Source organism: Homo sapiens, chromosome 4, assembly GCF_000001405.40.
Source record: "Homo sapiens chromosome 4, GRCh38.p14 Primary Assembly".
Taxonomy (NCBI): domain Eukaryota; kingdom Metazoa; phylum Chordata; class Mammalia; order Primates; family Hominidae; genus Homo; species Homo sapiens.
The window spans coordinates 4,555,409-4,576,510 of NC_000004.12; the positions used below are offsets into that span (position 1 = coordinate 4,555,409).

General features: G+C 45.4%; 1 protein-coding gene and 2 long non-coding RNA genes across 11 annotated transcripts in view, besides 1 other annotated feature; 2 read left to right on the top strand and 1 right to left on the bottom strand.

Annotated features, from left to right (window-relative positions):
- LOC124900165 (uncharacterized) overlaps positions 1-21,102 on the top strand; it is a 230,445-nt gene that overhangs the window by 13,278 nt on the left and 196,065 nt on the right. The gene's annotated exons all lie outside the window — the stretch shown is intronic.
- The window catches only part of STX18-AS1 (STX18 antisense RNA 1 (head to head)), a 168,808-nt gene that overhangs the window by 13,278 nt on the left and 134,428 nt on the right, over positions 1-21,102 (top strand). The window lies entirely within an intron of this gene.
- On the bottom strand, positions 5,122-20,483 carry LINC03091 (long intergenic non-protein coding RNA 3091). Of its 2 annotated transcripts, NR_199719.1 has the most exons (5): positions 20,348-20,483; positions 19,650-19,803; positions 13,411-13,538; positions 7,304-7,352; positions 5,122-5,471 (listed from the first exon to the last, which is right to left on the bottom strand). It is a non-coding gene; the product is annotated as a long intergenic non-protein coding RNA 3091 (long non-coding RNA). The 2 variants fall into 2 exon arrangements; NR_199718.1 differs by lacking the exon at positions 7,304-7,352.
- Positions 19,917-20,276: a silencer, noted in NCBI's record as "silent region_15215". NCBI's record gives its function as "represses an Ori minimal core promoter by ATAC-STARR-seq in GM12878 lymphoblastoid cells {active_cell/tissue: GM12878}" and the evidence as "EXISTENCE:reporter gene assay evidence [ECO:0000049][PMID:35858748]".

Consider the following 21,102-nt stretch of genomic DNA (forward strand, 5'->3'; position numbering starts at 1 on the left):
ACCAGACAGAAGAAACTTCAGACTGGCAATGCCAAGGTAGCTGGAGGTGGTGAGAAGTCTTCTTTAGATTTTGGAAGGAAGCTTGGTTCCTTTCAGTCCTCTATATCACCCAACGAATGTGTGTTGTTCAAGAGCGAAGACTGAGACGGTACCTTGGACAAGTGTTTGGAATTAAAGGAAGCACTTAGAAAGTAATTGGCCACATGGTTTGGGTAAATCTCAGAGAATGTTTCTAGGATTTGGAATATTTATTCTGGAGAAGAGAAGATTTAGGGGTTGGATGAAATGAAAGTCCTCAAGCACATGAACCAGTGGTGGAGAGCAGCTGTTCCCTATTTCTGTTTTGGACTGAATGAGAGGAAACGAGCTTACATTGAAGCATGAGGGATTTAGGCTAAACATGAAGAAGAATTTCCTGGATGTGGGTGTTGTTGGACTTTGGAATGAGTTACCAAGGTGTCTACAATAAGGACAGTGTCTCTCTGGCTGCAGATCTTGAAGTGTGGAAGCATTGGCTCCATGCAGGAATGTCTACACTCACACGCTCTTTCCAAGTGGGAGAGTCTGTGACATTAACGGGATCTTCTAACGTGAGGATATGAGTCTCAGTCAACCCCAAACCACTGTCCAAAACCTTGATCTAGCATAAGAAATGGTTGTGGTAGGAGCTGGATGACTATCTCTGGCAATCTGCAGTTTGACATTCCACAAATACCATGATTGCTTATGTAGGCTACTCCAGCGACCAAACACCTCCCCTCTTTGAAATGTATTAAGAAATTCTCTGCAGGGCTTCTTTCACCAAAAGTGCATTTAATAGAGCTTGGAATTTCCTCACAATGCATTTATTTTTGTTGATATATTTTTAGGTCTCCATTATTACTTGTCTGCACCTTCCTTTGCTTTGTAGGCATAAGCTATCAATAACCGGGCATTGACCACACTGTGGGGGTTCTCCCCTTCCCTCCCATGGAAGCTAAGTCTTTAGCTGTTAATTTCAGAAGGTTTTAAGCCAACCACTAGTTTTCATTATTGTACATCAAAAAGGCAGGCAAATCGCAGCAGCTGTAAGTTCAAAGGACACAAAGGTCTCACTGTGAGCATCACAGCAAATAGTTTTGGGTTCCCCTCACCCCAAAAGTAGCCCATGGTGGGTTAAGTTTTTATTTTTAAATAGATTTAGAGTTGAATAACTAGCCCTTGTAAGGGACTTCAACAAAGAGGCTGTATATTGGCACATATTAAATATGCCCCTATACACCCCAAATTGTTTTGTCCAAAATGTCTCGTTTATTATAATTTCATTGATAAAGCCCTTGATTGTAGCCCAGGGACTTTCACATATTGGCTGCCTCCTGTTGGACCCACAGGCCTCTATTGGTGATTCCAAATCAGCCGTGCATGGCCCTTGATCCCCTCCTGTAGAGGGACTGGGTGATGGTATCTATAAACCAACAGAATAGCTCTTTTCCAGTAAATCCCCCACAGAGTCCAGAAAAATATGCAAGCAGTCCTTTTACTTCAAGTTTCTACCCACACAGGGTCAACAGAGGGAGGAGAGGCAGAGGCAGCTGCCCTAGAAGCAGCCATCGTCCCAGTCCCATAGCCAGTGTGAAATCTTAGCCCTCTTTTCCTTACACATGGCCGTGGCCGCTCTTCTAGTCAGCACCGAAATCTCCTCCCTGAAGAGCTTCTTTCTCTTCCTCCCTTCTTCCTTCCTCCATTTCTTGGTCCACTGAAGTCCCTGGAGATCCCCTGGGTCCTGTCCTCTTTGAGTTGTCATTGTCTTTGCTTCTGTTGCTCATGCCAGGGCTACAGGAAATTTGCTGCGTCCCCCTAGGTACTGTTGTCAGAGTGGACTCTGGGTCAAAGAGTCAGACCTTTCATTGGTGTGCTTCAAGTCTAAGCTTTGCAAGCTCTTTCTCTATGTTACGTCTGCCTCCTTCCTCTTTAGTTTGTCTTTTATTTGTCCTAGCCTTGAGGAGTGAAGGTTCCAGGAAATTGAGGATGGGAATATAGTGGAAAATCCATTCCCCACAGGAAAATATTCTGAAATTTCTGGCTTGGGTGACAGGCTGTCATTGATAGAGCTAGATAACGATGAAGGTGATGATAATGATAGCCAATCCTATGTAGCACTCATTAAGTACCAAGCACTATTAAGTGCTTGAGGGAGAATAAATCATACAATCCTATGTGGCTCGTATTCTTGTCATATGCATTTTGTTGATATAAAAAAAAAATCAAGGCACAGAATGATTAAGACACATACCTGAGGTCATACAGCTAGTAAGTTGCAGAGCAAGAATGGAACCCAAGGCCGGGCGCGGTGGCTCATGCCTGTAATCCCAGCACTTTGGGAGGCTGAGGCTCGTGGAGCACAAGGTCAGGAGTTCGAGACCAGCCTGGCCAACATAGTGAAACCCCGTCTCTACTAAAAACACAAAAAGTAAAATTAGCCGGGCATGGTGGCACACGCCTGTAGTCCCAGATACTCAGGAGCCTGAGGCAGGAGAATCACTTGAACCTGGGAGGCGGACATTGCAGTGAGCCGAGATCGCGCCACTGCAGTCCAGCTTAGGCATCAGAGCAAGACTTTGTCTCAAAAAAGAAAAAAAATGGAACCCAAAATGCTGGGCATGGTGGCTCACACCTGTAATCTCAGCACTTTGGGAGGCTGAGGCGGGTGGATTGCTTTAGGGCAGGAGTTCAAGACCAGCCTGACCAACATGGTGAAACCCCATCTCTACTAATAATACAAAAATTAGCTGGGCATGGTGGCAGGCACCTGTAATCTCAGCTACTTGGGAGGTTGAGGCAGGAGAATTACTTGAACCCGGGAGATGGAGGTTGCAGTGAGCCGAGATCGCGCCATTGCACTCCAGCCTGGGTGGCAGAGCAAGACTGTCTCAAAACAAAACAACAACAACAACAACAACAAAGAATGGAACCCAGGCAACTCATCCCCAAAGTCTCAGGAAGTCATCAGGCCACAAGTGTGTGTGGACCAGTCAGGTGGAAAAGTAGAGCGGCAGGGGCAGGGACTCTGGCTTTGAGGCCAAGTGTGACCTGGAGAAGGAGCTTAGGGAGCCGTCTCACCCTTTGGGCTCCTGGCCCCACTGGGCTGCTCCTGCAGCTCTGCCTTGCTGGCTGAATCAACATCTTTTCTCCATTTCAGTTTCATTCCCTCTTGCCCACACATCTTACTTATTAAAGCCACCCGATCCCACCCCAGGCATCTCCAGGCTTAGTTTGTACTTCCTGCCCTCAAAGTTACTCCTGGTGCCAGGATCTCCGCCTCACCATTCTTCTCCTGCCTGCCCATCCTCAAGGATGGCAGGACATGCAGCATCCCTAGGAGGAATTTGGCCGAGACTAGAAAAGCAGGGACGATGCCGCCTCCTAGGGAAGGAGCATTTTTCACAAGGCGGTTTTTTCCCTCCATCCTGCTCTGCCCCATCTCTGCTCCAGCTCCTAGAGCAGGAAAATGCAACAGCCTCATTTAGAGAATATAATTTACATAAAATAGTTTCCAAATTTATTAAGGAAGCAGACAACAAAAGGAAACCCACAATTAAAGAGGCTTTGCACGCATTCGATATCTTTCCACTGGCTGAAGTATATCATCTTCCTGAATTAACGAGGTCTGGGCAAAAACTGTAGCACAAAAGTATGCTTTGCTTTCAAGACTTCAGGGCCTTTATCATCCTGGGTGGGGCAGGCAGCAGGGGTGGAATTGGCAGGGAAGAGTTAGAGGCCAATCTGTCTTTTTAAGGATGTGTTGCCGGACTGAAATGGACAGGCTGGTACTGTAGGTACAGCTTTTTCTCTGTAAAGAGGGGAAGTGCTTTATATTTGGGGACACCCCAGTTTGTTCATTCAGCAAATCTTTTTAAAGAAATTTTTTTAGAGACAGGGTCTCACACTCTGTCACCCAGGCTGGAGTGCAGTGGTATGATCATAGCTCACTGTAACCTTGAACTCCTGGGCTCAAGTGATCCCCTTACCTCTGCCTCCCAAAACACCAGGAATACAGGCAGGGGAAGGAGCGTGTGTTTGTATGTAACTAAGTATCCATCCATTGATTTTACTGTCATGTCTTTATCATTTACCTAACCCTTTATCCAGCCATCCACTTAACACATACTTTTTTGTTCTCAAAGTCATTCGAAGCAAGTTGCCAGAGATCTGGACCCAAGAGCAGCTGGGAAGGGAAGGGGTTGGGCAGGTTACCGGAGATGCCCAGGATGAGCTTCACTGAAGCCACATGCCACTGTCCCCTTAGTAGCTTGTGATACAGAGAGAGCCTGGCTTTGGAGTCAGGCAGCACTGGGTTTGAATTCTGACTCATTTTGTTACCACCATCGACTAATTCCTTTATCTTATTTCTTGTTTATCTTAAGAATGGAATCACAACCACAAGGGTGTTGGTGGATTAACTAGTAATGTTAGTAATGTGCTTATGATATAATATCTCTCATCGAGGTAGACAGCACATATTTTATTCATTGTCTAAGTATCGAGCACCTGCTGTGTGTCAGGCATCGCCCTACCTGCAGGAACTGTAATAGAAACTACGATAGCCCTGTCCTCATTGAAATTTTTTCAAGTACTTTAAAATTTTTTTCCAGTACTTTTGCTAGTTAAAACCCTACACGAGGTACAAGATCAATGTACAATCTGTATAAACTTTGAAGAGCAAAGCAAATAAAAGATTATCAAGAGCCAGAATTTCAGGGACAGATGCTCATATGATTTCATTATAAAAAGAAACTAACATGGAAAGGAGGCACGCAGAAAGTAACAAGAGGTTTTGATGTCTGTTTTTTGTTTTTTAGAAAACCTATGAGCTGTCTGTAGAAAAGAAAAAGTAAATATGACCTGATGTTTCAGCTTCAGGCATAATAGCCCAGACATTTTTGAAACCCACAAGGGTAGTTTTTACTTCTTCAGAATGTCTTTTTTTTTTTTTTTTCTCCCCACAGTCTGGCTTCCTTTTCCCTTCAATGGAATAACATATACAAACTCTACCTAAGAGTGCTGTGTGAAGTACATGCCAGCCTACAAGACATGTCTCTAACCAAGTCGAAAGAGTGCAGTATTCGTTCATTCACTCATTCATTCATTCAACAAATGTTTATTAATAGGTATTGTTTACCAAGCACTGTGTGTTAAGGAGAAGATGGTATGAAACAAGCAGACCCAGGCCTCAGGGAAGAGAGGCTGTTACATTCAGAGACAATTACCATACACTACAATGAATGCTTTGATGAAGGGAGGCAAAAAAACAAAAACAAAAACAACAACAACAAAAACCCCACAACGATGTGGATCCCTCCCTGTGGGGGTGAGGAGAAAGGAAAACAGCTTCAGGGATCTCCAAGCCCTTGTGCCGGCCACTCTTCTTTCTTCTCTTCCTTCCTCCTCTGTCTTTCCTTTCATCCTTCCTCCTCCCTTCTCTTTGGACATCACTAATAAAAGAGAAACAGATGTCAGAGACGTAGACATGGGGAGGGCTTTAATATCTAGCCTTACGGAACAAAATCCTTGGGACCCAATAGAACTTAGTGTTGCAGAGCTTTCTCCTGAGTTCAGCTAAAACCAGGCTCTTGTCACACGACCAGGGAAGATTAGGCTCCCGGACACATAGAAGGGTGAGGAAAACAGAATTTATTGGGCGAAAAGGAAAAAGAAAGAAAAACTCTCAGCGAAGTGATAGGGGGTCTTGCCAACAACCTCTCTCCTCACAAATTGAATCCTAGGTTACCACAGAGGCCAGGTTCCTCTCCCCTGCAAACTTCGTGAACTTCCCCTGGCTCTACCCCTTTCCCCCAGTAAGAAGGTGGGCCTCATTTAGAGAAAATCGTTTGGGAAAGGGCAGGCTTCATCAGGGACCAGCAATCCAGTTTCTCAGCCTTCAGGCTGTTTTAGCCTTGGAGGTGGGGTTTCACCTGGGACACTTGGCTGCCCCCTGTCTCTAACATTAGATGTCTCTAACATCTATTCCCCTCCCTATCTTTGCTGGACACCTGACTCTCTCCTAGAGCAACCCAGCAAACATCTGTCTGTTGTGTACTTAAATACCCCCACAGATTGGGAACTGTCTCCTTTATGGGAAAGCTCTTTATATTTGGGACACCCCAGTTTGTTCATTCAGCACATTTTCTTTTCAACTTTTTTAGAGACAAGGTCTCACTCTGTCACCCAGACTGGAATGCAGTAGCGTGATCATAGCTCACTGTAACCTCGAACTCCTGGGCTCAAGTGATCCTCCTGCCTCGGCCTCCCAGGAGCTAAGGGCTACAGGCGTGTGCCGCCACTCCCAGCTAGTTTTTTAATTTTTAAAAATTTTTTGCAGAGGTGGCGTCTTGCTATGTTGACCAAGTTTGTCTCAAATTCCTGGCTTCAAGCCATCCTCCCACCTCTGCCTCCCAAAACACTGGGATTTCAGCCGTGAGCCACCAACGCACCTGGCCTCATTCTCCAACTCTTTACAAAGCTTCAAAGACATCCCAGACGCTGGGAATACAGAGACCAATCAGATACAAACCCTGCCCTCCAGCTGTTCGCAGCATTCTCGCTCCTTTGCGGCCACCTCTTCTGCCCTGCTTTTCCACCTTGTCCCTTCTTCTGTCAAGTGGCTTTTGGCTTGGTCACCACTTTGCTGGTGTTTCTCTCCAGAAGTGAGTCCCAGACTTCAGGTGTGGTCTGACTCACGTCCTATCGGGTCTCTCCCTCTGAAAACCGTGCTTGTATTAAAGCAGCTTGGGAGCTCATTAATGTTCTTGGCAGCCAGGTCCTACCCCTGACAGTGCAGGAGCTGCCTGTCCACTTAGGGGACCCCTGTCTTTTTCACACGTGAGTCTGTTAAGCCTCACCTCCCTCATCGCCTCCATGTGTGCGGCAGTTTTCAACAAATGTTCAGAGTACAACACCTGCCCTTGTTAAACGTAATCTTGTTACACTAGTCCCCTTGTTTTAACTTCTCAAACATTTTGAGTCTTGCTCCTGTTAACCAAGAAGACCTAGAAAGCTCCACATCTCCTCTTAAAATGTGTGTGTGTGTGTGTGTGCGTGTATTCGTACGCACACCCCTGGGTACAGCTCTGAGGAGGCCACCTATAGGTTTCTGAACAATCTTCCATGAATACAGCTCATTCATACACACATTTATTTATTCTGCAACATTTATTCAACATTCCCTAACAAAACTTTCATTCTTGAGCACTTTTTGCCCAAGCATTACAGGGATAATAGAAGCAAACGAATCCATACTAAGGAGTGAATTATTGATAGTGCTCACCTGCATTTTTTTAAGCAGAAAGTAGTATTTATTTTGGCCTAATTTCCACCTGTCAGAAAATCAAAACAGTGATGAATTGCATATTGCTATACTACATTTTATTATCAGCATCAAAATTCAAGTGTGCTCTGCTTAAAATTCAGAAGACAAACTTTCTCATTTAGAAAAGTTCATTCTGTTAGTGACTGATCAGAATGGAATAAAAATTTCATGATGCATACATACTGATTGAATTTTTTTTTCTTTTTTTAAAAAAAATGTATTTTATTCTGGATTCAAGGTGTGCATGTGCATATCTGCTACACAGGTATAATTATGTACTGGTGGGATTGGGCATCTAGTGTGTCCATTACCCAAATAGTGAACATTGTACCCAATAGGTATTCTTCAACTCTATCCCCCACTCTAATGATCCCCCCTTTGGGAGTCCCCACTGTCTATAGTTTCCATCTTTATGTCCATCTTTATGTGCCCATTGTTTAGCTCCCACTTACAAGTGAGAACATATGGTATTCAGTTTTCTGTTTCTGTGTTAGTTTGTTTAGGATAATGACCTCCAGCTCCATCCATGTAGTTACAAAGGACATGGTTTTGTTCTTCTTTTTTTTTTAATGACTGCTTCACCTTCTTCTTAACTATCCCAAGGTGTTTGGTTCTTAAACTGATTGGTGAAATCTAGCAGTCATAGCAGAAGCAAGTGGAGACAAGGCTTGTTTAAATAGTATCATTAAGCTGACTCTGACAGAGGCCTTTCCATACACACCCAACCCTCTCCCCTATCAGAGCTTCTAGAGAGGGAGGCTGGCTAACCCTGGGATCCAGAAATATTTGGAGAATCCTCGGGCCGGGCGTGGTGGCTCACGCCTGTAATCCCAACACTTTGGGAGGTTGAGGCGGGTGGATCATGAGGTCAGGAGATTGAGACCATCCTGGCTGACACGGTGTACTAAAAATACAAAAAATTAGCCGGGCGTGGTGGTGGGTGCCTGTAGTCCCAGCTACTCGGGAGGCTGAGGCAGGAGAATGGCATGAACCCCGGAGGCGAAGCTTGCAGTGAGCCGAGATCGTGCCACTGTACTCCAGCCTGGGAGACAGAGCGAGACTCTGTCTCACAAAAATAATAATAATAATAATAATAATAATAATTTGGAGAATCCTCAACATTCTTTCTGCTCATCCCAGTAACCCACTTGACAGCATGGAGCTCAGAAATGTGGGGACCCCAGAAGCTCAAGATCTTCAGCCCCAACTCACAACTTTCTCCCTTGCCATTGGAAGGGATTGAGGACCTTGGCTCAAATCTCTGTTTCTCAAAGTGATTTCTGGCTCAGCCTATATCCAGGTGGAGTAAAGCTTTTACTTATTGTTTTGGAGTAGGTACAGCCGGACTAGGGTTTGCACCCCAGGAGTTAGGTAGAATTGGAGTAGCAGAGCCTTTAGCAGATCTGATCTCTGGGAAAAGTTCTAATGTGGCAATAATACCACTTTTCCATAGGATTATTACTTAGGTTAAATGGCATAATGGCTATAACATGCTTAACACAGTGCCAGGCTTGTGGTGTTTGTAAATGTTAGCTATTATTTTAGTTAGGAAAGCAAGCTAATGCAGAACATGATACCTAATACAAAATCCTCCTTATGCTTAAACAGAGAAGGAGTTATTTTTCGCATACAGTAAGATGTCTAGAAGTAGGTAGTTGCAGGTTTCAGTTCAGGAGCTCAAAAATGATGGGGCCAATGTCTCTGAAATTCTGGACATTTCTTCCTAGATGCAAGAGGGCTGTTAGAACTCAGGCAATTGCATCCTTGTTTAAGCCTGGAGAGAGGGGGAAGACTGCCTTAACCACATCTGACATCTTTCATCAGGAAAGAAAAGCCTTTCCCAGAAATCCATGAGAAAATTTTTGTTTAGGTCTCAAGGGCCAGAACTGGGTCACTAGCTACTCCCTAGCTGCAGAGAGGCTGGGAAAGTTAGGAACAGGATAATCATGATTGGCACACCAGTAATGAGCCATTGCCAGGAAGGAGTAAGCAGTTTAGATCGTAACGGTGATTACCGCAGTGATTGTTACCAGCTCTAGCCTGCCTTCCATCCATCTACTTCTCATTTGTAGCAAATTATCAAGTGGTCTCATGCCAGTTATAAATATTATTCATTGTACTCACAGCTCCCTGCACTAAGCCAGCTTTTCTCTTAACCTTTCCCTGTCCATCTGGATAACATTTCTTATTGTTACTCCTTCCCCAGGAGGATTTCTGTACTAGTCGCTATTGCTGATTATGCTGTGTAACAAATAACCCCCAAACATTAATGAACATTTTTTCCTACTCGCAGGTCTGCAGGTCAGCTGAGGGGACTCTGGCCCAGGATGTGGGTTCAGGTCTGCTTTTGTGTCTCTCATTCCAGAACCCTAACTTAGGGCACACCATGTACCTAGGGGATGCTCTCCTCATGGTGGATTAGGAGAGCAAAAAAGGACAAAACCACATGAGCACATTGAAAGCTTCTGTTTGCGTCGTGACCACTCATGTTCCATTGGCCATAGCAAGTCCCACAGCTGGGTCTGACGAGGAAGATTATTCTTCCCAGGAGAGGGAAGGAGAAAGCAAGTATTTGCTGAACAGGAATCAAATCCATTGCACCTTCTCAAGCCAAAACTAGGTTAGGAGTCCTCTTTGGGCACCCATGGTCCTTAATGCATCCTTCTGTTACAGCTTTGGATTCTCCATTGCCCTTACCTATTCCGTTGTCTGTCTTCCCCAGTGGATTGCAAAAAGATTGCTATGGCTGAGATGTGTAAGTCTTTTATGAGATCTAGGTGACAGCTGATAAGTGTAGTTATGGTCATGATGGTCAATTCTTTAACAGTTTATTAACAAAATAACAAAAGTTACAAAATGAAAATATAAAGGATAAGTTATTCGAGGACTATGGTTGGACTCTAGTTCTGAACATTATTTAAACTCGATGTTAACATGCTGTAGATAATAACATATCCACAGAACAGAAGCTAGGTCTTCCATTGGCCATAACATATGCCTCTAAATGCCCTCCCCCCTACCAAAGTAGCATCCAGAGGTATGTGCTATTACTTGAGAGATCATTCTGCAATTTAAAATTTAAACTCGACAAATTATTAATACCATAAACATTTCAGTGTCAAACACTGAAGATGCAATGATAACACCTGGCTATCCTGCTCAGGTAGCTCACAATCTGAAGGGTAGATGGTGGTGGGAGCAGAGCAGTTAACAGATAAAATGAAAAGTAGTAAGTGGAGCTCTTATTTGTTGCTGGTGGGAATGCAAAATGGTACAGCCACTTCAGAAGACAGTTTGGAAGTTTCTGGCAAAACTAAGTATACTCTTACCATAAGATCCAGCAAGCATGCTCCTTGGTATTTATCCAAAGGAGCCGAAAACTTACATCCACACAAAAACTTCCACTCAGACATTTCCAGTAGCTTTGTTCATAACTGCCAAAACATGAAAGCAACCAGGATGTCTTTCAATAGGTGAATGGATAAACAAACTGTGGTACATACATGCAGTGGAATATTATTCAGCACTAAAAGCAAATGAGCTATAGAAAAGATGTGGGGGTAGATGCTAATTTGACTCCTTAACTTAACTATCTGACCTTGAACTAGTTACTTAGTCTCTAGACCTCAATTTCCTCATCTGCAGAATGTGAATAATGAGTGTTCTTGTGCAAATTAAATGAGATATGTATTTATACTAGATATTGTCATTTTTTCCTTCAGATCCACTGTCCACCTGCTACTCCTTGGTCTCCCTCCCAAGGAGGCTGACCTGCATGGACCACTAGAGGCTCCCTTGTCCTTTGCTTTTTTTTTTGGTTTAGCCAATAGGGTGCCCAGACAGAAGATGAGAGGGAGGGCTGAGAGTGAGGCTGGGGATTTATTCTGAATGCTTGCCCTGCAGCATTGCCTTAGGCTGTCACTATTCCTCCCCAGAAGCTTTCTAGGAGACTCTCCTTCTGTGTTCTGGAAAACTACTCCCTACCCTCTTCCCTTCAGGCTTAAGGACAGGTAACAGCCCTGCCATTACTAGCTCCAGGGCAGAGCATCATCTCTACAACCTGCCACATCTTTGCAAATAATCCCTTTATTAAACTTTCCTAAGAAAATCCCAATTTAAAAAAAAAAAAAAAAAAAAAAAAAAAGAAAAGATGTGGGGGAACCTTAAATGCATATTGCTAGTAAAAGAAGCCAATCGGAAAGGCTACATACTGCAAGATTTCAACTATAGGACATTCTGGAAAAGGCACAACTATGGAGACAGTAAAAAGATCAGTGGTTGCCAGGGGCTCAGGGGAGGGAGAGAGGGATAAATAGGTCGAACACAATATTTTTAGGGCAATGAAACTATTCTGTATGATACTGTAATGGTTGATACCTGTCATTATATCTTCATCAAACCTATAGAATGTACAATACAAACAGTGAACCCTAACGTAATCTATAGATTTTGGTTGATAATAATGTATCCATATTTAGTCATCAATTGTAACAAATGTACCACACTAATGCAAGATGTTAATATAGGGGAAAGTCCGAGAAGAGGTGTTGAGGAAGTTATATGGTAACTATACTTTCTACTCAATTTTTCTGTAAACCTGCAACTGCCCCCCAGAATAGTCTATTAATGTAGAGAACAAGGTAATAAAGTGCAATAAAAGGGATATGTACAAAGTGTTATGACAACACAGAGAAAGCACACAGGGAAACCCTTCCAGGGGAGATGGGTTTGAACTGAGTCTTGAAGGACAATAGAAATTCACCAGGTAGAGCAAGGAGAAAGGTGAACCTGGCGGAAAGCACCACCTGTACCAAGGTGTCAATGACAGGATCATCACCTGTTGTGTCCACTGACCAAGTATCTAGAGTGCTGCCTGCCCTAGAGAGGGCGCTCAATAAATATTTGTTGAGTGAACGGATGGTAACTTGACAGGACATAACACGGTGGAGCTTTATTTCCTAGCTAGGCATAAAGACTATCGAAAAGTGCAATAGGTACTTTTTTTTTTTTTTAAGACGGAGTTTTGCTCTTGTTGCCCAGGCTGGAGTGCAATGGTGTGATCTCAGCTCACCGCAACCTCTGCCTCCTGGGTTCAAGCAATTCTCCTTCCCCAGCCTCCTGAGTAGCTGGGATTACAGGCATGTACCACCACACCTATCTAATTTTGTATTTTTAGTAGAGACAGTGTCTCTCCATGTTGGTCAGGCTGGTCTCAAACTCCCGACCTCAGGTGATCCACCCCACTCAGCCTCCCAAAGTGCTGGGATTATCGGTGTGAGCCACCGCGCCAGGCCAATAGGGCCATATTTTATAACCTCCCCTTCCTATCCATCCTTAATGGTGAAAAGGGTATCAAATGTTTCCAATTGCTCTTTGGCTGGGGAAAAAACATCTTCTTGATGTTGATATTCATGCTCTAAAGGTAATTAGATGCCAGAGAAGAGACCGGATTGTAGGCGATGGCAGCTTGCTTACAGTATACATTTATAAACAAGCAAAATCAAAACTGTAAAGTCGCATTTCAAGATGGTTTTGTGTTTCTCCACATTGAGCCAACAGCCTGTGGACGATATCATATACTCCACTGGAATTGGCCGCCTGGGCCAAATGAGAAAGCTATCTCCATAGAGGCTTTGAAGCAGAAGGTTTGGGCACTGAGCAGGGAGGGAGAAGCGCCACCCCTGCGGGGCTTAGCTCAGTCCACAGGGTCTGGGGGCAAATCTCATGCAAAACACGAGTGGGACTGGTACCAACGTCAAAGAAGAGACACTTTGGAATCCAGCCTCTGTCACCAGGAGCTTCCCCTCCAGGCCTCTGGCAGAGAGGTGTGGTCCTTCCTCCCTGATCTTTCATCTCTTGGAATCTCTAGTTGCTAGGCGCGGGTGAACAGTGTCAAAACCCAGCCCATGATAGATTTATCATCCCCCTTACTGAGAACTGCCTATGGCCACATACTGTGCTTAGCATGTACACATTTTGGTTTATATAAACCTTCCAACAAGGTGCCAGGTGGGTAACGTGATTGAGATTAGGAAACTCAGGCTGAGGAAAGTTAAGTCACTTACTCAGTGTCACCTGGGAATAAGTGGCAGGGCTGGGGTTAGAACTCCCATCTGTCTGGCTTCAAGCTTATGTGCTTTCCATTATGTGCAGCCACCCTGCCAACTACTCAGCAGGGGCCTTCTGATGGACACTGTGAGAGGACAAGACACAAAAGAAATGTATACAATGGAGAAGACAATGATACAAATGATACAAAGGAGAAGACAATGGGCTTCTCCTTTGCCCCTGAGACTTCCTTTGAAAAATAATTTGCAAAATCCCGCTCCCTGTGCCTTGCTCTAGAGTTTGAAGGCTTGGGCCTGTGAACAGTGAGCTCTCAGGAGGCACAGATCGCTCCCTTAGGCACCATGCTTGAGACTTGACCACATTTCAGGCTGGCTCCGCCTGCTCTAGGCTGTGTCTCTAAAGGTGGCCCCACCCCTGCCTTGCACTAAGTCTTTACTCAAGAAAATGCAATGCTACCAAACCACAAAATGTGCATTGTCCCAACCCAGCTTGCACCAAATTGTTTTCAGGAATTCTCTAGTGACCCCTTCTGTAATTTCCATTTCCACATAAACCCCAGGCCCTTTTTGTTCCCCCTTCTTCACTTCCCCAGCATCCCTTTTTGTTCTCTCTCTGTTCTCCCTTCAGAAGCCTCAGTCCCCTTTAATTGGGGCTGAGTTCTGTCTGACCTGGAATCTCCCCCAAAGCAGGAGTCTGAATAAAACCTGTCTTGCCACCTTTCACAAGTGTTTTGCGCTGTGTGTGTGTGTGTGTGTGTGTGTTTTTTTTTTTTTTCATTGATAGTTCAAATCCTATTTCCTCTGGGTATTGTCTGTGTGTCCTTGGGTGAATCACTTCACTTCTCTGAGTCTCAACTTCCTCATCTTCAAAATGAGAACGTAGGTAGGCCCACCTTGCTGCAAGGTGATGAGGGAAGGCCCTCGCCAGGGGCCTGTCACTCCTTACTCAGGAATAATCACTGACCCATCCCCACAGTGCTGGAACTCTTCTAGGCATTGGGAGTAGAGAGAAGCAACACAGAGTTCCTGCCCACAGAGAGTGGACTTTCTAGTGAAGAAACAAACAACACACAGGGAAACCTATCTGTATTTGTCTGTTTTCATGCTGCTGATAAAGACATACCTGAGACTGGGCAGTTTACAAAAGGAAGAAAGGTTTAATGGACTTACAGGTTCACATGGCTGGAGAGGCTTCACAATCATGGTGGAAGGCAAGGAGGAGCAAGTCACGTCTTACATGGATGGCAGCAGGCAAAGAGAGAGCTTGTGCAGGGAAACTCCCATTTTTAAAACCATCAGATCTCACGAGACGTATTCACTATCGCAAGACCAGCACAGGAAAGACCTGCCCCCATGATTCAATTACCTCCTACTGTGTCCCTCCCACAACATGTAGGAATTCAAGATGAGATTTGGATGGGGACACAGCCAAACCATATTACCATCTTAAAATATCAAGCAGTGAAAGCATGATGAAGAAAGTTAACACAGGTGGAGGGATGCAGGTGACCAGGAGGAGGAGGAGCTATTTTCCAAGACCTCTCTGATGGGGGACATTTGCACAGGGAGCACCATGTAGAAATCTTGAGGGTTCACACTCCAAGCAAAGAGAAGAGCAAGTGCAAAGGCCCAGAGGCAGGAGAGCACTGGACCTGTTCCAGAAACCTCCAGCAGGCCAATGTAGCTGAAACACAGCCAGGCACAGGGGCTGAGACAGGAGGTGGGCCAGGCCATCTAGGGCTCAGGGACCATGGTCAGGACTCTATATTCATCCCAAAGGTGATAGGGAAGCACTAAGGTTACAGTGTAACCATATCCATGTCTCAATCACCTGCCTAACTCTACTAGAAGGAGGGAACGTGTCAGTGCTGGTTGAATTGTGACTTTCTCATGGGGTAGGGGGTGGGTTATAGGAACATGAGATATAAAACGTACCAGAAAAGGTATCCAACCTCTAGGCGTCCCCCTCCTTGGACACCTTCAGGTTCCATGGCGATATGATTTGGCTCTGTGTCCCCACCCAAATCTCATCTCAAATCGTAATCTGAGCAGTGGAGTAATATGATCTAAGCTTTATACATCCTATATATTTAACACCATCTCAAATTTACAAAAAAAGTTACAAGTATGGGACAAATAATTTTTGTCCCTGAGTCATCTGAAAGTAAGCTGCCAGCATGATGCCTGTCACCCCTGGACACTTTACTATGCATTTCCAACAAACAGAGAGAATGACCATCAAAATCACGACGTTCACAACATGCATTTTTACCATTTGAACCTCAGACCACATTCAGGTTTCATCCTTTGTCCCAATAATGTTCTTTATAACAAAAGGAGCCAGGGTGGAATCACACATTGCCTTTAGATATCAAGCTCCTTTAGTCTCCTTCAGTCTGAAATGTTTTCTCAGTCTTTCTGTGATTTTCGTGACCTTGACTCTTTTGAAGATGACTGGCCAATCATTTGATAGAATATCCTTCAATCTGCATTTGTCTGACCTTTCACCCTGATTAGAATTAGGATATGCATCTTTGGCAGAAATATCACATGAATGGCAATGTGTTCTCTAGGTTGCATCCTATCAGATGCACAAGAACTCAATTTGTCCCATGACTGATGATGTTCACCTGCATCACCTGGTTAAAGTGGCATCTGCCCACCTTCTCCATTGTGAAGTTACTATTTTTACTGTTCTTCCCTCTGCAGTTGATAATTATTTTTATATAAATATCCTGTTCCTCATGAAACCTTCAATGTATTCAGTTATTAATAACACTGTGGACTCCTGTTTTCCTGTTTTATTCTGTGGGCCATAATTCTTAACTCTCATTACTTATTTGTATTTAGATTACTCCAGAAATGTCCAGCAGTGGCTTCTGTGTTCTGGCATGTTTCCATCATTGTTTGGGTGCTTAATTTCTGGGTAACAAGATGTTCTAGGCTCCTTTCTGCCTCAGTCCCAGAATCAACCATTTCTTCTAGGGTGCATCTTCCTTTTAGTTGAGATGAAATTTGGAATCCAAAACCTGGGTACAATGTAGGCTCACTGCTTTTGGAATGTCAGTGCCCTCAGGTTCTCTCAATAGACAAAACTAAGGAATATATGTGTTTATATACACATCTAGTTGCAAGTATACATACATGCACACATCTTTCATCTATATTTCTATGTCGATTTAGGTATTGAATGTTATGAGTTCCTATCAATACCTCCAATCGCAATCCCCTCTACAAGGGTCTTTCCAGATTCTCTCTTTCCATATTTGTAACTTGATGCTCCAACAGCAAGAAATCTTTCTCCTTTGCTTTTAATATATTTGCCTACCTGATGAGTCCCCATGGGTATAAATAATCCTCCATCTCCATTGCCATTCTCTCCCTTAGAAGGATGTTATTCTTGGTCCACTGGGGTCCTGACAGCTGGTGCTAGGCCTTCTCCATGCATGGATGCCCTGCTCATCCTGCCTGGCCTCTGACATCTTTATGGGGTCACTTTTCTCTCCTTGTATCTAACACCCTACACTGAGCTGCCCCTTTTGGTGCTTTCTTCATTTAGCCAGAGCTCAAACACTCATGCCTGGCAGCCCTCCTCCTTGGATGCCTTCTTCAGGTTCCATGGTGATATGGTTTGGTTCTGTGTCATCACCCAAATCTCATATCAAATTGTAATCCCCATGTGTTGGAGGAGGGGCCTGGTGGGAGATGATTGGATCATGGGGGTGGATTTCTCCCTTGCTGTTCTCATGATAGTGAGTGAGTTCTCACAAGATCTGATGGTTTTAAAGTGTGACACTCCCCTCTTTCCACCCCTCCTGCTATCATGCCTTCCACCATGATTGTAAGTTTCCTGAGGCCTCCCCAGTCATGGGAACTCTGAGTTAATTAAACCTCTTTTCTTTATAAATTACCCAGTCTCAGGTAGTTCTTCATAGCGTGTGAAAACGAACTAATACACATAGCCTGATATTCTGCTCCAGGCCACCCTTTGATAGAGGCTCTCCTTACTCCACCTGTCCCACCTGACCAGCTGAAAGGAGGCACATGTATCACACCTGTTCAGTGGCAGCTTAGGCCCTCTCTCCTTGGAAGGGTATATCAATTTTCACAGTTTGTGGCTCTGCCATTTTCAAAGGCTACAGTGAAATCTGAGCAGGAAATGAAAATCATCCATTTCTGCAGTACTCCCTGAAATCATTACATCATCACTAACTTTCCCCGAGTTCCCATGTGATGTTGGAGCTGGAAGGCCCCCATTTACCAGAACCAGATAGCTTATTTCATGCCTGTTTGCTTTTGCACAGGCTGTCTCTCTGCTTGGAATGCTTTTCCCATGTGCGATAAACCCCTCCATTCCAAATATTTTAACTCTGTGAAACTTTCTTTGATCCCTAAATTTGACCCCAAGTTAATCATTTTTCTCCCTCTGCTACAATTTTCACATTTAGCTTTTAAAAGATATTTAATATATTGTGCACCTCTTATACTAGGCTGTGAACTCCAACTCCCTGAGACAAGTTGTTCATTCATTCGTCAAATATTTATTGAGCTCCTACCATTGTAAAAGGCTCTGTGCTAAGTACTAAGGATGAAAATGGAGAACAAGATGCAGCACTTTCCCTCAAAGAGCTTGCAGTCTAGTGGGGAGTTTCATTAGGTAACCAAGCCATCCTAATCCATATTGCTGGCTTAGAGTCTGACACATGGAAGATGGTGAATGAATGCTTATTGGAATTTCTAAGACTGGTGGCAAGAGCATGGAACACAGTACTCATTCCCTGCTAAAGACTGTTCTCGCTGTCTCTGTCCTCAAGGAGCTGGTTGTTTACTGGGAGAGACAGACACCAACTGTATATAAAAAGAGCACTAGAGTGTTTTCCAGGCCATGATGTGGCACACTCACTGTGAGCTGCTGCAGCAGACACCGTTGGGTCTGCCCAGGGCCCTCAGATATCCTGCATGCCCTTTTCTGGCTCTGCATGCCCATCCTCCATGCTTCTGTGAGCTCCACTCTTAAGACTCACCCTGCAGCCTTCTTGGAGGGACTAACCTGGGCTACTGCAGCCACTTCTGCAATGGCAGTGAGCGTCAGCATTTCAAAAACAGACAGGCAGGAGGGTAGGACAGCCCGTGTTCCTTGCCTCCAAGCAGATGTAACCTACTCTGGGGAGCTCGGGATCAGGCTGGGACTGGGACTTCTGATGTGATGTCCTTGTGTGGCCTCTTCTCCTTTCCTCTCCTGCTTCCTCCACTCCCCTCTTGCTTTCTTGTGAGAGCACTTCCTTCATAAATACTTTGCCCAGTCATTCTCCACGGGTTAGCATGTGGGAAACCTGGTCCAGACACTGCGTTCGCAATACCTGGCCCTGCTAATGTGTAGCTCACAGGGCAGGTGTGTGCTCCAGCCGGGAATCCAGCCAGCTAAGTATCTGATATAGTTTGGCTGTGTCCCCACCCAAATCTCATCCTGAATTGTAGTTCCCATAATCCCCAGTGTCGTGGGAGGGACCCAGTGAGAGGTAATTTAGTCATGGGGGCTGTTACCCTCATGCTGTTCTTGTGATAGTGAATGAGTTCTCATTTGACAGTTTTATAAGGGGCTTTTCCCCTCTCTGCTCAGCACTCCTCCTTCCTGCCCCCATGTAAAGAAGAACGCGTTTGCTTTCCCTTCCGCCATGATTGTAAGTTTCCTGAGGCCTCCCCGGCCATGCTAAACTGTGAGTCAATTAAACCTCTTTCCTTTATAAATTACCCAGTCTCAGGTATGTTTTTATTAGCAGCGTGGGAATGGTCTAATACAGTATCCAACCAATCAAGTGCAGCTTCAGAGACCTTGGGCTTTAAGAAAAGGGCTGAAGGCCAGAGAAGATTTCTCAGTGAAGGTGAGTTGAGCAGGGCCTTAGGGGAGGGTAGGTCATTAGGTAGAAAGTTGGGCATTGCAAGGCGAGAAAACAGTGTATGAGCTGCTGTGAAAGACATGGGAAGGGGAGAAGCTCAGGCTGTTTCTCCTCCACCAGAGAATGCCCTCCTCCTTCCTCCCCCTTCCTCCCAACACACACACACACACAACACACACACACACACACACACACACCAGTTTTCTCCCGGAAACTGAGCTAATCCAGCCACGCCCCGACAGACATTTGCAGTGATTTTACACACACACACACACACACACACACACACCAGTTTTCTCCCTGAAATTGAACTAATTCAGCCAGGGCCCCCCTACAAACGTTTGTAGTGATTTTACTCCCAGCGTGGACTCTCCTGCCCGGTCAGCTTCAAGGATTCCTTTGGTCCCAGAAATAGCCAAGGTGGCGGTGAAGGGAGGAGCTGTTTCATTTCCGAAATGAAAAAGTTTAAGATAATTACACAGACGGCTTGAGCCTGCAATGGACAAAAAGTTTCATTATTGGACCCCTTTGGGGAAGGCGCCTCCCATCCCCAAAGGAGCGGGTTAACCGCTCGGCTGGCGCGGCCCCGCCCGGGTCGCCGTCTGAGAGGGACGGTCGCGCCCCCTTTGAAGTGCGGCCGCGCCTAATGAGGGACTCGCTGGGCCTCGGGATCAAGTGTCAGCGCCGCCCCAGACGCCGCAGGGCAGACAAAGGGCGCGGGCCGCCTGGCGGCGCTGGGAGGAGCGTGCGGCCCGCGGCGCTGAGCGGGACAAAGGCGGAGACGGGCGCGCGGCGGGGTCCCACGGGCAGAAGAGCCTGGCCTCCAGCGCCCGGCGCCCGGTTCGCTGCCTCCGGAGCCCCCAAGAGCCTCTCTGAGGGCGGGAGCGGTAGCGCAGGCCACGCCGACGGCGACCACAACGCGCCTGCGCCAAGCCCCGGCCCCAGCGTAACCTCGTGGGTGACAGTGTGACCTGGGTTTTCTCCGATACGCGCGATGTGCCCGCTGAGGGCAATATAGCACCCCCCTCGCACCTCACCCTTAGGCGTGCCAGGCACTCTTCTAAATCCGAGCTTCTATTAACCCATTTCCTGTCCTGCATCACTTTGCAAGGTGGGTGGGGTGAGTAGCCCCATTGTCCAGCTCACTCCATTCTACAGATCAACCCATTGTATAGCTCACCCCACTGTCCAGCTCACCACATTGTACACGTCACTTCATTGTACACATCAGCCATTGTACAGACCACCCCATTGTACAGATCACCTCGTTGTACAGATCACCTCATTGCACAGATCACCCCATTGTACAGATCACCTCATTGTACCGATCGTCCCATTGCACAGATTGTCCCATTGTACACATCACTCCATTGCACAGATCACCCCATTGAACACATCACCTCATTGTACAGATAACCCCTTTGTACAGATCACCTCATTGTACAGCTCGTCCCATTGCACAGATCGCCCCATTGTACACATCACCCCATTGTACACATCACCCCATTGTACAGATCACCCCATTGTATAAACCACCCAATTGTGCAGATCCCATTGTACAGATCACCCCACTGTACAGATCTGTGAAGCGAGGCGCAGAAGGAGTCCCAGATCACAGAGCTAGAAGGGATGCTGCTGGGCAGGGTGGCCTCAGAGTCCCAGACAGATGTTTAAATATTTGACATTTTTGTCGTCTTGTGTGTGTATGTGTTTTTAAAAACCCTTCATTTATTTATTTAAATTTAGAAATATATTTACTTTGATTAAAAATATATTACATTAAAGTATTCTT